This window comes from Homo sapiens, chromosome 16, assembly GCF_000001405.40.
Source record: "Homo sapiens chromosome 16, GRCh38.p14 Primary Assembly".
Classification (NCBI taxonomy): domain Eukaryota; kingdom Metazoa; phylum Chordata; class Mammalia; order Primates; family Hominidae; genus Homo; species Homo sapiens.
In genome coordinates, this window is record NC_000016.10 from 48387383 (window position 1) to 48403270 (window position 15888).

General features: G+C 46.3%; 1 annotated feature.

Annotated features, from left to right (window-relative positions):
* Positions 11692–12437: an enhancer, noted in NCBI's record as "H3K27ac-H3K4me1 hESC enhancer chr16:48432985-48433730 (GRCh37/hg19 assembly coordinates)". NCBI's record gives its function as "activates a minimal SCP1, AML or CMV promoter by ChIP-STARR-seq in naive H9 embryonic stem cells {active_cell/tissue: H9 hESC(naive)}" and the evidence as "EXISTENCE:reporter gene assay evidence [ECO:0000049][PMID:30033119]".

Below are 15888 nucleotides of genomic sequence, written 5' to 3' on the forward strand. Positions count from 1 at the left end.
ATAAACATCACCATTATAAATTTAATTTACTCCCCCTCTCAAAAAAATGTACCTTCCATTTGAAAGAAAATAGCTCCACTGTGGGGGTAACTAAGCACCTTTTCTGAACAGGGAGTTGACTCTGCTTCCTTGACAGTTTATCCATAGAAAAGCATTTTGTAAACTGTAAAGCCTATCCAAATAATCCTCCAATTGATGGGATTTCAGTAACGGTGACAAATATTTTCAGGCCACATCTGGATAGGGAGCCTTCCTGGTCCCCTCAAATCACATCAAATGGTAATTCCATCTATTGCAATGGAACATAACGCTCTGGTCCTGCATCTGGCCCGTAGTTAAGGTACCAGTGATGTAAATTACTTTCCTCTTATGAATAAAACAGGCACTGGCCAGGCACGGTGGCTCACACCTGTAATCCCAGCACTTTGGGAGGCCAAGGCAAGAGGATCGCTTGAGGCCCAGAAGTTCCAGACCAACCTAAGAACATAGCAAGACCCCGTCCCTATAAAAAGTTTAAAAATTAGCCCGGCAGGGTGGTGTGCGCCTGTAATCTCATCTAATCAGGAGGCCAAAATGAGAGGATTGCTTGAACCTGGGAATTTGAGGCCATAGTGAGCTATGATTGTGCCCCTGCACTCCCATCTGGGTGACAGAGGGACACTCCATCTCTAAAAACATAAAAATAAATGAATAAATAAAACAGGCACTGATGAGAGTATCTTTATTTGGGGGTTTTGCTATGAATTTATATTAAATTGATATTTATTTATTTATTTATTTTGTAATCTCGGCTCACTGCAACCTCCATCTCCTGGGTTCAAGCGATTCTTGTGCCTCAGCCTCTCAGATAATGCTGTCAAAGTTGGCTAAACTAGTTAAGACTGAACAGATGATTTCCAAGTGTCTTCATGTCAATATAGTTATTTTACAATAGACCAGTTCACAAGACCAAACCCATCTATTGAATCACCGATGGGCTGTGTTTGTTTCCAGGCAATCACAGATGTCTCTTGCCCAGGAAACTATAGCTATCTCCTCTTACATTAAACCACTGATACCCATTTGTCATTCAGCTTAGGTGGATAGGTCTGGAAACATATTAGCATTCCCTTCCAAGCCTGGCTCTGCTGGTAGCGAAACAGAATCTTTTTCAGCCTGGAAACTGGAAGGCGGTTCCTCCCTCCCAAATAGACTCCTATAAGCTTTGCAAAGGAAAGCAGGTCCCCAACTTGTCAGACATGCCTACAGCAGAGCAGAAACAATGTTTTCTTTATCAGACACACCTGTTGCCAGTCACTGTCTGAGGTTGGTGAATGTGTTAAACAGTATCCCAAACAAATTTTCCTGGACATGGTGGAGAAGTTAGAGACACAACATGAGCATCCAAGAATGAAACAGGAAGTAGCTGAAGGAAGTTCCCAAAAGCCCAAGTGGTTGGGAAATGAGTTCGCCCATAACTGTAGTTTTCCTTCAATATAATCAAGTTTCTTTAGGAAAAAGGTTACATGCTAGGCATCACATTTTTCAAGAAGTTAGAGCCGGGCACGGTGGCTCACGCCTGTAATCCCAGCACTTTAGGAGGCCAATGCCTGCAGATCACCTGAGGTCAGGATTTGGAGACCAGCCTGGCCAACATGGTGAAACTTCGTCTCTACTAAAACTACAAAAATTAGCCAGGTGTGGTGGTGGATGCCTGTAATCTCAGCTACTCGGGAGGCTGAGGCAGGACAATCACTTGAACCCAGGAGGTGGAGGTTGCAGTGAGCAGAGATCACACCACTGCACTCCAGCCTGGGCAACAGAGCAAGATCCTTGTATCAAAAAAAAAAATTAGAAAATCATTGAGGTTTTTATGTAGCTGGTGGAAGTAGGTGATACTGACAATTAGTTTAAGTAATTGTTGTTCTTGAGTTCATTGGAATGCAGTGATAACTGTCCAGTGCATTAGGTACAACCCCTGCCTCATGCCCAACCCACAGATGCTCATTTCCATGGATCCAAATCTTTTCTTTACACTTGTCAGAATTTAGCCTTTTTCTTTTTTCTTTTTTTTTTTTTTTTCCAAGACGGAGTCTTACTCTGTCACCCAGGTTGGAGTGCACTGGTGAGATCTTGGTCACTGCAACCTCTGCCTCCCAGGCTCAAGCAATCCTCCCACCTCAGCCTCCTGAGTAGCTGGAAACACAGGTGCGTGCCACTGTGCCCAGCTAATTTTTTTGTATTTTTGGTGGAGACAGGGTTTCACCATGTTGCCCAGGCTGGTCTCAAACTCCTGAGCTCAAGCCATCTGCCCATCTCGGCCTCCCCAAGTGCTGGGATTATAGGCGTGAACTACCATGCGCGGCCTTAGCCTTTTTAAAAAATTTAAGTATTTGTTGAACTGCTATGACATGGCAATAAGTAGAATAAATCCCTGGAGGGCAGGGTGCATGTCTGTATTTCCATCTATGCCTAGCACAGTGGCTGACACATAAAGGGCCCTCAACATTTTTGTTGAGCAAATGAAGAAATATTAAACAAGGACCATGCCCTTAACTATCACGGTCTATGGAATCTGTTTCCAGTTTCTCTTTTACATCCTTTCATTCATTGTTAGTAGATATTTGACTTTCTTTCCAAATTATCTTGGAGAAACTAGCATTTAGAAACATTTAGCATTCAAGAAATGCTTAACACACGCACAAGTTCATGGGTTACTTAATTTTTTTTTTTTTTGAGACGGAGTCTCGCTCTGTCACCTAGGCTGGAGTGCAGTGGCGTGATCTCGGCTCACTGCAAGCTCCGCCTCCCGGGTTCACGCCATTCTCCTGCCTCAGTCTCCCGAGGAGCTGGGACTACAGGCGCCCGCCACCACGCCTGGCTAATTTTTTGTATTTTTAGTAGAGATGGGGTTTCACTGTGTTAGCCAGGATGGTCTCGATCTCTTGACCTCGTGATCTGCCCGCCTCTGCCTCCCAAAGTGCTGGGATTACAGGTGTGAACCACCGTGCCAGGCGGGTTACTTAATTTAATACTAACAAATATATGAAGTGAGCACTGCTTTCCCATTTTACAGATGAGGAAATGGAAACTCAGAAAGGATAAAGAACTTTCCCATGGCATGTACTAATAAGTGGAGGTGTGGAAGTTAACATCCAGGTCCGTCTGGCCCCAGAGCCTTTGCTCCTTCCTCATTCATCGTGTCTTACAGCTGAGGAGAAACATGATCTGTGATTCATATTCATCCAGGAGGGCTTACACATGAATCTGCAGGGCCCTCAAGTCCTTTATGAGAATTTGTCAATTCAGGGTTTTCATTTTAATGAATTTTAGAAGGATGAATTAAAGTATATTTTACATTATCTAAACAACTACCTGCAATTCACTATGTTAATGAAAAAATGGCCAGGTGCGGTGGCTCATGCCTGTAATCCCAGCACTTTGGGAGGCTGAGGCAGGTGGATCACCTGAGGTGAGGAGTTCGAGACCAGCCTGGCCAACATGGCGAAACCCCATCTCTACTAAAAATACAAAAATTAGCCAGGTGTGGTGGTGGCAGGCATCTGTAATCCCAGCTACTTGGGAGGCTGAGGCAGGAGAATCGCTTGAATCCAGGGGGCGGAGGTTGCAGTGAGCCGAGATCGTGCCACTTTACTCCAGCCTGGGCGAAAGAGCGAAACTCCATCTCAAAAAACACATGCACACAAAAGTTATAACACTTAGGGTACAGTGGTGACCGCTAGACGCATTAAAGCTGCAATGGTTAAAGGGGTTATTTCTGGCAAAAAGTACTAGGAAAGGGGAACTAGGTGGAGTTGGGGTAGAGAAAAGGGAGAATTTTTTTTTTTTTTTTGAGACAGGGTCTTGCCCCATCACCCAGGCTGGAGTGCGGTGGTGCGATCAGAGCTCACTGCTGCATCGACCTCCTGGGCTCAAGCGATCCTCCTGCCTCAGCTTTCAAAATAGCCACCACACCCAGGTAATTTTTGCATTTTTTGTAGAGACGGGGTTTCACCATATTGCCCAGGCTGGTCTCAAACTCCTAGGCTCAAGCAATCCACCCACCTAGGCCTCCCTAAATGCTGGGATTACAGGCACGAGCCACCGCGGCCAGTCTAAAGTCTATGTGATATTTGAATGAGAAAGCAGGCTCAAGGCTGGGCAAGGCGGCTCACGCCTGTAAACCCAGGACTTTGGGAGGCCTAGGTGGGTGGATCACTTGAGGTCAGGAGAAACCCTGTCTCTACTAAAAATACAACAATAACAAAAAAAATTTAGCTGGGCGTGGTGGCACACTTCTGTAGTCTCAGCTACTTGGAAGGCTGAGGCAGGAGAATCGCTTGAACCTGGGAGGTGGAGAGGTTGCTGACCTGAGATTGCACCACTGCACTCCAGACTGGTTGACAAAGCAAGACTTGGTCTTAAAAAGAAAAAAAAATGCCTGGCTGGGCACGGTGGCTCATGCCTGTAATCCCAGCACTTTGGGAGACGGAGGCGGGTGGATCACCTGAGGTCGAGAGTTTGAGACCAGCCTGACAAACATGGAGAAACCCCATCTCTACTAAAACTACAAAATTAGCCAGGCATGGTGGTGCATGCCTGTAATCCCAGCTACTCGGGAGGCTGAGACAGGAGAATTGCTTGTACCTGGGAGGTGGAGGTTTCAGTGAGCCAAGATCGTGCCACTGCACTCCAGCCTGGGCAACAAGAGGGAGACTCCATCTCAAAAAAAAAAAAAAGTCTACAACCTAATCCCCAGAACCTGTGAATAAATTACTTTATGTGGCAAAAAGGACTTAGCATATGTGATTGAGTTAAGGATTTTGAGATGAAGACATTATCCTGGACTATCCCATGGGCCAAGAGATAGAAGACGTGATAACAAGAGGTCTGAGCCAGGCTCAGTGGCTCACACCTGTAATCCCTTTGGAGGCCAAGGCAGGAGAAGCACTTGAGCCCAGGAGTTTGAGACCAGTCTGGGCAACATAGCAAGACTCTATCTCAACAAACAACAACAACAAAAGCAGAGGTCAGAGAGACCCAGAAAGGGGCCATGAGCCATGGAATGCAGGAGGCCTCTAGAAAACTGAAAAGGCAAGGAAACAGATTCTTTCCCTGGAGTATCCACATGGGGTCAGCCCGGCCGACACCTTGATGTTAGCCCCATAAGACTAATTTTAGACTTCTGACCTCTGGAACTGTAATATAATACATCTATGTTGTGGCAACCCACTAAGTTTGCAGTAATTTGTTAAAGCAGCGATAGGAAACTAGTACAGACACAAAACAAAGTGTAAATCCTCAGTCAATGTAGAGTGAAAGAGAGGTGAGGGGCAGCTGCGGACAGCACCCTTCCAAATGTCACCGAATATCTGCAAACAAAGCCAAAATATACCTGGGTAAATCAACAAAGTGGAGGCAGAAATCTGTCTGGATTGTTTGGTAAGTTGTATTAAGACAGAAGAGGCCATGGAAACTCACTGAACTTGGTATTTACATGTATACAATCTCAGTCTTTTCATCCCTTGATCCTATTGAAAGAAAACAAATACCTGTCTGCTAGTTTTAGTGAAACTGTCCCTACACAGTTAAGCAACTGATTCTTAATAACTGTCTGTACTGATTGTGGTAATCAATAAGAAACAGTTTCTCCCAGTTCATTCATTTCTTTTTTTTTTTTTTTTTTTTTTGAGATGGAGTCTCACTCTGTTGCCCAGGCTGGAGTGCAGTGGCCCGATCTTGGCTCACTGCAACCTTGGCCTCCCAGGTTCTAGTGATTCTCCTGCCTCAGCTTCCTGAGTAGCTGGGACTACAGGCACCCATCGCCACACCCAGCTAATTTTTGTGTCTTTAGTAGAGACAGGGTTTCGCCATGGTGGCCAGGCCAGTCTCCAACTCCTGACCTCAGGTGATCCACCTGCCTTGGCCTCCCAAAGTGTTGGGATTACAGGCGTGAGCCACTGCCCCCAGCCTTTCTTTTTTTTTATTTAGAAACAAAGTCTCACTCTGTTGCTCAGGCTGGACTCAAACTCACTGGCTCAAGTGATACTCCTGCCTCATCCTCCCTAAATGCTGGGATTATAGGCATGAGCCACCACACCCAGCCTCCAGTTCATTTCTTAATCAAGAGACATACTGATTAACCCAACTGACTTTCCAGCATGTACACTGTATATCTGTATTCATAGACACATTTCTCTTTTCTTCCTCTTAATAAAAATGTAGCTCTCAAAGATATCCTGAAAATAGTGCTCAGGCTTGCAACATTACAGCTTTAATGAGCCAAGAACTCTATTTTTTCCCTATTACACAGAACAATAATTCTCAACAGCTTAAATTTTCAAAGCACTTCACAGGCATTTAATTAATCCTCTCCATTGCCAGAGAGAAGGAAACTGATATTCATAGCATCTCATCCTGACATCCTTTAATTTGGCAAGACTTCTGCTGGCTTTGAAAAACAGTGTCTGAACCACTGAGGTTATTTGGGCCACCGTTGCTTAATCGGGCCTTCTTACCTAATGAAACCTGGTCATCAAAGCAGTTTAAATTGCCATCTCATCAGCGCTTTACACGGGGCAGGGGGAGCTGCTTTGAGCCTGGAAGAGAAATGACAGTGATTCCCTCAGAGAAATGACAAAGCTCATCTGTGCGGAGCCTGTGAGATGAAGCTTGTGATTAAGGCCTATTGCCAATTGCATCAGAGCCTGATTCACTCGGTGTAACTGGGGCACGATGTGTATCGCGAGGCCCTTCTCAGAACCCTGCTCTCCTGAGGCCCGGAGAGAATCAGCAGTTGAATTTCACTGTGTTCTTTGCTGAGCCTCTCCTGTGTGTGGGAAGCTCTAAGAAGCCCTACTTTTCTCTCTTTTCAGACCTGCTTCCTGCGGAAGGCATAACTAAGACAGACTAGTCATGCCACCTCAATCACCAAACAGGATTCTCCTCCAGCTGTGCCCCAGAGGCACAGCCTTTCCCTTCACTGCCTCCCAACACCCCCATCCAGACCTACTCCATTTGTTTTTTATTTTGGTGGGGGGTGGGGGACAATACTTCATTCCGTTAACTAGAACGAGTAACGCACCAGACCCATTCCATTTACTGCAATTTCAACTAGCCAATCTCTTCCCACTTCATTATGTCAGTTACACAGTGGCCGGAGTGACGTCATACCCTGTGTTCAATTCCAAGAAACAACCTCGAGAGATGCTTCCTGAGTGCTTGCTATATGCCAGGCACTGAGGGATCCTGAGTGAAGGCCCCACACCTCAAGAAGCTTGGTTTGAAGTAAGATAAATAGCAAAAAATAACTAGACTATAAGTACAATGATGGAGGCACAAACAAGCTATTACTGAGAGAACAGGGCACAAGGAGAAGGGAGAGAGAAGGGAAAATACCATTTATGAGGGGTAGGGAAGAATCATTGAATATTTTCTTTTTTTTTTTGAGACAAGCTCTTGCTCTGTCGCCCAGGCTGGAGTGCAATGGCATAATCTTGGCCCACTGCAACCTCCGCCTTCTGGGTTCAAGTGCTTCTCGTGCCTCAGCTTCCCAAGTAGCTGGGATTACAGGCATGTGCCGTGACTCCTGGCCAATTTTTGTATTTTTTATAGAGATGGGGGTTTCGCTATGTTGGCCAGGCTGGTCTCGAACTCCTGACCTCAAGTGATCTGCCTGCATCGGTCTCCCAGAGTGCTGGGATTACAGGCACGAGCCACCGTGCCTGGCCGTAGAATTTTTAAGAGGTGGCATTTGATATGGCCCTTCGAGGATGTGCTTTTGTTTCTTTTTATTATTTTTCAAATTTTAAATTCTTTTTTTGAGACAGGGTCTTGCTTTGACATCTAGGCTGGAGTGCAGTGGCACTGTCTCAGCCCATTGTAACCTCTGCCTCCAGGGCTCAAGAGACTCTCTTACCTCAGCCTCCGAGTTGCTGAGATTACAGGCATGCGCCACCACGCATGGCTAATTTTTCTGTTTTTGGTGGAGACAGGGTTTTGCCATGTTACCCAGGCTGGTCTAGAACTCCTGACCTCAAGCGATCCTCTTGCCTCAGCCTCCCAAAGTGCTGGATTACAGGAATGAGCCACTGTGCCCAGGCAGGATATGCTTTTAATGAGCACAACGGGAGGGTGTATTCTAGACAGAGGAACTAGGCAATGTGCAGGGTCTGTGTTTGGGGAAATGGAAGCCCGCTTTCACTGGGGCCTGGAGGAGACACTGCTGGACAGCTAGGTTGAACCAGACTGTAGGGTTTTATGCACAGTAAACATTTATGACTGCATTGCTCAACTTGGTTATTGTTGAGCCACTGTTAGACTATTCTATTGGCCCACAAATCATTTGTACTCTCCTTTACTTCATATTATTCTTAGCTATTGTTCTGTTTAAATTAAAAGAACACTCTATAGAGCCCGGCCTTACATGTTTAAATGGTTGGAAAAAATCAAAAGAAGAATATTTCGTGACACATGAAAATTATGGAGCTTGGCACCGTGGCTCATGCCTGTAATCCCAGCACTTTGGGAGGCTGAGGCAGGTGGATCACCTAAGGTCAGGAGTTCAAAACCAGCCTGGCCAACATGGTGAAACCCCGTCTCTACTAAAAATACAAAAATTATCTGGGCATGGTGGTGAGCACCTGTAGTCCCAGCTACTTCAGAGGCTGAGGCAGGAGAATCGCTTGAACCTGGGAGGCGGAGGTTGCAGTGAGTCGAGATTGGGCCACTGCATTCCAGACTGGGTGACAGAGTGACATTCCATCTCAAAAAATAAATAAATAAATACAAAAGTAAAAAATTATCTGGCGTGGTGGCGTGCTACTCGGGAGTCTGAGGCAGGAGGATTGCTTGAGCCCAGGAGGTCCAGGCTGCAGTGAGCCATGATTGTGCCACTGCACTCCAGCCTGGGCAACAGAGTGAGATACTATCTTGAAAGAAAAAGAAGAGGAAAGGGAAAGGGAAGTGGAAGGGGATGGGGAAGAGAGAAAAAAATAAAAGAAAGAAAGAAAGGAGAGAACAAAAGAAAATTATATGAAATTCAAAGTTTAGCATCCATTAATAAAGTTTTTTTTTTTTTAACTCCCATTCCCTGAATTATCTAGTAACATGAATAGAGTTTTATCGAGACACAGCCATACCCCTTCAGTTACATTTTGTCTATGGCGGCTAACAGCAGAGTTGAAAAGTTACATCATAGTATGGCCTGCCTTAGTTGAAATATTTATTATCTGGCCCTTTACAGAAAAAGTTTGCCAACCTCCGACATAGAGTAAATATATTAGCATATACATTTGTATGTCATGTCATCTTTCATAAATGAGAAGTAATGGCCGGGCGTGGTGGCTCAAGCCTGTAATCCCATCATTTTGGGAGGCCAAGGTGAGTGGATCACTTGAGATCAGGAGTGCGAGACCAGCCTGGCCAACATGGAGAAACCCTGTCTCTACTGAAAATACAAAAATTAGCTGGGCGTGGTGGTGGGTTTCTGTAATCCCAGCTACTCGGGAGGCTGAGGCAGGAGGATCGCTTGAACCTGGGAGGTGTAGTTTGCAGTGAGCCAAGATCACGTCACTGCACTCCAGCCTGGGCGACAGATCAAGACTCTGTCTCAAAAAATAAATAAAATGTAATGGGAAAAAACAGTTTTGAAATACAAGTAACACCAGAGATACAGACTCAAGTAACATCTTGGGAAAGCACTGATTGCTTGAGTACCTTAGTGGCAGGCACTTTTTGCTAAGCACCTTTATGTGAGCTAATAATGATAGCAGCTACAATATAGTCATGGCTTAATGTGAACAAGGATAAATATTTTGTATGCATTATCTAATTCCATCCTCAAGACACTTGATTGGAGAATTATCCCTGACAGAGGTTCACAGAGTTGGCACAACTTGCCCAGAGTCACACGAGACAGGAAGATCACTTGAGGCCCAGAGTTTGAAACCAACCTGGGCGCATCCAGGATTTTGTCTCAGGTCTTGGGATTTCAAGCCTCTTGCAGGTTAAATATTAAACTACCGTAATCTCACATACTGTGAGATCTGGAGTGCCAAAATGGAAAAGTTCATTCCTCTGTTCCCAGGAAGAGCCACTGAAAGTTTTTGAACAGGAAGGGTAACATACTCAGAGCCCCGGCTGTACTGGATTAATCAGGTATGCAAAGCAGGAAGAACTGGACTGGGAACTCTGAGAGGCTCTTTTTTTTTTTTTTTTTTTTTTTTTGAGACAGAGTCTCACTCCATCACCCAGGCTGGAGTACAGTGGTGTGATTATGACTCACTGCAGCCTCAACCTCTTGGGATCAAGTGATCCTCCCACCTCAGCCTCCCAAGCAGCTGAGACTACAGACATGTGCCACCATGCCTGGCTAATTTTTAAAATTTTTTGTAGATACAGGGAGGGTCTCACTCTATTTTCCGGGCTGGTCTCAAACTCCTGAGCTCAAGTGATCCTCGTGCTTCAGCCTCCTAAAGTGCTGGAATTATAAGCATGAGCCACCGTGCCCGGCCCCTAGGACACATTTGGATTAGTGAAGCTGTGGTGGTAGTAAAATCCAGAGGGCTTGTTGGTGGAATGGTTGTCTGAGGTGAGGAAGAGGGAAGGGTCAGAGCGCCCATGGTTCTGAATCTCAGAAATGGTAGGAAATGGTGGGTGGATTGGGGAGGGGGTTAAGTTTAGACACGGAATGCTGAGTGGTCTCTGGGATATCTAGATGGAGAAGTGCAGCAGACAAGATAAAATTTGGAAATGGAATTTGAGAAAATACTATGCTTTGGGGTATCATGTTCCTACAGGGGATGGTTAAAATCACAGGAGCCAATGAGATTCTCAAGGACAAGGCTGTGTAGTGAAAGGAAAGGGAAGGGCAGGGTTGGGCGCAGTGGTTCACTCCTGTAATCCCAGCACTTTGGGAGGCTGAGATGGGAGGATTACTTGAGGCCAGAAGTTCGAGACCAGCCTGAGCAATGTGGCAAGACCCCATCTTTATAAAAAAATATGAAAATTAGCTCGGTGTGATGGCTCACGCCTGTAGTCCCAGATAATTGGGAGGCTGAGGTGGGAGGATCACTTGAGCCTGAGAGGTCAAGGCTGCCATGAGCTGAGATCATGCCACTGCACTCCAACCTGGACAACAGAGGAAGATCCTGTCTCTAAAAAAAGAGAGAAATATATATTTTATTCTCCTTCATATACCCTCACAAACACCTGGGAGATCTGACTTGAATTTAAAATCCACAGACTGGCCAGGTGAGGTGGCTCACACCTGTGATCCCATACCTTTGGGAGACCAAGGCAGGAGGATCACGTGAGCCCAGGAGTTCTAGACCAACCCAGGCAACATAGTGAGACCCCATCTCTATTTTTAAAATAAATTATAAATTAAATTTGTAAAAAATAAAATCCACAGCCTTCCCAGAGTTCCACCCAGCAGCCCAGAGAGCAGAGGCCGACCCTGAGCCCTGCTCCTGAGCTACTTTTCTTCCCAGCCCTCCTCTGCCTTGCCATGTCTCATACATCAAAGGGACTTGCATGTGTCCATGTGGACACTGAAGCCCAGTGTCCCAGCTCAGGCCTCACCTGTTCCCGCACAGACACCCATTGATGTGTTTCCCCTCAGGCCTGGGGGTGCTCATCTGAGGCCTGTTCACCCTCTGGAGGACAGAACGAGAGAGGAGGCACATGTGGGCCATGAGTGCAGGACCAGGGCCATTGAGCAGCTCACTGATGTTAGAAGAGGCCTCCATAGGGGCACCTCTCCTTGGGTCCTTAGACTCCTGACTCCTTAGGGGCCCCACCAGGGTGGGCCTAGAGCCAGTCTAGGGTGGAGTATTAGTTTCCCATTGCTGCCGAAACAAATGACCACAAATTTTTATTTATTTAGAGATGGGGTCTCACTCTGCCACCCAGGCTGGAGTGCAGTGGCGTGATCTCAGCTCACTGCAGCCTCGACCTCCTAGGCTCAAATGATCCTCCCACCTCAGCCTCCCAAGAGTTTGGGACTATAAACGTGAGCCACCACACCCAGCTAAGTTTTGTATTTTTGTTTTGAGATGGAGTTTCACTCTTGTTGCCCAGGCTGCAGTTCAATGGCGTGATCTCAGCTCACTGCAACCTCCGCCTCCTGGGTTCAAGTGATTCTCCTGCCTCAGCCTCCCAAGTAGCTGGGATTATAGGCGCATGCCACCACACCTGGCTAATTTTTTTCTTTTCTTTTTTTTTTTTTGAGACGGAGTTTCACTCTTGTTGCCTAGGCTGGAGTTCAATGGCATGATCTTGGCTCACTGCAACCTCTGCCTCCCGGGTTTAAACAATTCTCCTGCCTCAGCCTCCTGAGTAGCTGGGATTACAGGCATGCGCCACCACGCCCAGCTAATTTTTTATTTTTAGTAGAGATGGGGTTTCTCCATGTTGGTCAGGCTAGTCTCGAACTCCTGATCTCAGGTGATCTGCCCACCTTGACCTCCCAAAGTGCTGGGATTACAGGCATGAGCTACCACACCTGGCCCTAATTTTTTTATTTGTTTGTAGAGTTGGGGTCCTGCTGTATTGCCCAGGCTGGTCTTGAACTCCTGGCCTCAAGCTATTCTCCCACCTCAGCCTCCCAAAGTGCTGGGATTACAGACGTGAGCCTCCACACCCGGCCCAAATGACCACAGATTTAGTGGCTTTAAACAACACAAATGTATTGTCTTACAGCTGTATAGGTCAGAAGTCTGGTGTGGGTCTCATGGGACTAAGATCAAGGTGTTAGCAGACCATGCTCCTTTCTGGAGGTTCTCGGGGAGAATCTGTTTCTGTGCTCATTCAAGTTTTTGGCAGAATTCAGTTTTTTGCAGTTGTAGGACTGAGGCCCAGTTTGCCTGCTGGCTGTCCATGGAGGGCCTGTTCTGAGCTCCTAGAGGCCACTGCACTTGGTTGACAGAGCCTGCCTGTCTCCATTTTCAAAGCCAACCACGGAGGGTGATTCCCCCTCACACTTCTTGGTTTTTTTTTCAGACAGAGTCCCACTCTGTCGCCCAGGCTAGAGTACAGTGGCGCAATCTCTGCTCAGTGCAACCTCCGCCTCCCGGGTTCAAGCGATCAAGTGATTCTCTCGTCTCAGCCTCCTGAGTAGCTGGGACTACAGGCGCCCACCATCATGCCTGGCTAATTTTTGTATTTGTATTTTTATTTTTATTTTTATTTTTATTTTTTTTTACTTTTTATTGATCATTATTGGGTGTTTCTCGCAGAGGGGGATTTGGCAGGGTCATAGGACAATAGTGGAGGGAAGGTCAGCAGATAAACAAGTGAACAAAGGTCTCTGGTTTTCCTAGGCAGAGGACCCTGGGGCCTTCCCCAGTGTTTGTGTCCCTGGGTACTTGAGATTAGGGAGTGGTGATGACTCTTAACGAGCATGCTGCCTTCAAGCATCTGTTTAACAAAGCACATCTTGCACTGCCCTTGATCCATTTAACCGTGAGTGGACACAGCACATGTTTCAGAGAGCACCGGGTTGGAGGTAAGGTCATAGATCAACAGCATCCCAAGGCAGAAGAATTTTTCTTAGTACAGAACAAAATGGAGTCTCCTATGTCTACTTCTTTAATTTTTGTATTTTTAGTAGAGACGGGGTTTTACCATGTTGGTCAAGCTGGTCTCGAACTCCTGACCTCAGGTGACCTGCCCGCCTAGGCCTCCCAAAGTGTTGGGATTACAGGCGTGAGTTACTGCGCCTGGCCTGCCTCACACTTCTAATCTTTCTCCTTTTTCATCTCTCTCATCTCTATAGCTCATCTACTTCTCTACCTACTTCTTTTTCCCTTTTAAGGACTCAAAAGATTAGATGGGCTCATCCAGAAAATTCAGGAGAACTTTCCCATTTCAGGGTCAGCTCAGCAGCAACTTGATGTCATCTGCAACCTTAATACCCCTTTGGCAGGTAAGGTAACAGGTTCCAGGGATTTAGATGTGTATGTTTTTGGCGGGGGTTGGGGGGGCATTCTGCCTTCCACAGGTGGCAATCCTGAGGAACAGCCTCTCTGAGAAGATGATCGATAGCTGAACATTGCAAAGGAGCAAACCATGAGCCATGCCGCCCAGTATAGGTGCCACTAGCCCCCGTGACTATTTAAATAAATTAGACTTGGCCTGGCAAGGTGGCTCATGCCTGTAATCCCAGCACTTTGGGAGGCCGAGGCAGGCGGATCACCTGAGGTCGGGAGTTTGAGAACAGCCTGATCAACATGGAGAAACACCGTCTCTACTAAAAATACAAAATTAGCCGGGCGTGGTGGCGCATGCCTGTAATCCCAGGCAGGAGAATCGCTTGAACCTGGGAGGCAGAGGTTGCGGTGAGCCGAGATCTCGCCATTGCACTCCAGCCTGGGCAACAAAAATAAATAAATAAATGAGACTTAAATACAGTGGGTTGCAGTGGCTTGTGCCCATAATCCCAGAACTTTGGGAGGTTGAGGCAGGAAGATCGCTTGAGCCCAGGAGTTCTAGACTAGCCTGGGCAACATAACAAGACCCTGTCTCAAAACAACAAGAACAACAACAAAAAAACTCAAAAGCAAAAATGAATAAATAAATACAATTAAAAATTCATTCCATTCCTCAGTCACACTAGCCACATTTCAAAGGTTCAATCCCCACATTTAACTAGTGGTTACTGTACTGGACAATGCAGGTTAATAGAACATTTCCATCATCCCAGAAGGTTCTACTGAATGGAGTTTGATTCAGAGGAGATGAGTTCCAGGCAGAGGAAGGGGCACATGCAAAGTTTTGATCCCATTGACACCATCCTACTAGGGTGTGGAAGGACATAACACACACCAGGAGCACAAGCCTGGCAGATCTGTATTCCAAACCCATCACAGAATCATAAGTTAACCATCGACTATAAGTATCAGAAAATGACCTCACAGACCCTGGGCCACCCCATGCCCTAGATGCAAACCCCAGTTCAAGATAGCTTGGATGCACCCCAAGCTCTCCTAACTCTCCGTTCATTATTCCTTCCTTTATACCCTGCTGCTTTCCCGACTAGGAAGGCCGTCTTTCCCCCAGTCTACCTCCTCATTGCTTTCTTCTTTTTTTTTTTTAAGACAGAGTTTCACTCTTGTTGCCCAGGCTGGAGTGCAATGGCGCGATCTTGGCTCACTGCAACCTCTGGCTCCGGGTTCAAGTGATTCTCACTGCCTCAGCCTCCCGAGTACCTGGGATTACAGGCGCATGCCACCAAACCTGGCTAATTTTGTGTTTTTATTAGAGACATGGTTTTTTCCTGTTGGTCAGGCTGGTCTCGAACTCCTGACCTCAGGTGATCCACCCCCCCTTGGCCTCCCAAAGTGCTTGTATTACAGGCATGAGCCACCGTGCCCAGCCACTTTCTTTTTTATTTATTTATTTTTGAGATGGAGTCTCACTCTGTCACCCAGGCTGAAGTGCAGTGGCGCAATCTCGGATCACTGCAATCTCTGCCTCCCAGGTTCAAGTGATTCTCCTGCCTCAGGCTTCTGAGTAGCTGGAACTACTGCCACCAAGCTCAGCGACTTTTTTTGTATTTTTGGTAGAGACAGGGTTTCGTTGTGTTGGCCAGGCTAGTCTCGAACTCCTGACTTCAAGTGATCTGCCTATCTCGGCTTCCCAAAGTGTTGGGATTACAGGCGTGAGTCACCATGGCCAGCCCTCATTTCTTTCAAGAGCCAATCTAAAGAGTACACTTTCAGAAAATCTCAGGTTGGTTTTTTTTTTTTTGCAAGAGAACTTATGCTAATTTCCCCTTTACTTTTATTTTCTTATTTTGTTTTTGTTTTAATCCACTCATCTACACACTGATCCCCTTTATTTTTAGATATGCACAAGGGATACAGTTGGGCCAGCATCCCCTCATTTTTATTCTTTGTTAAAGGTCTC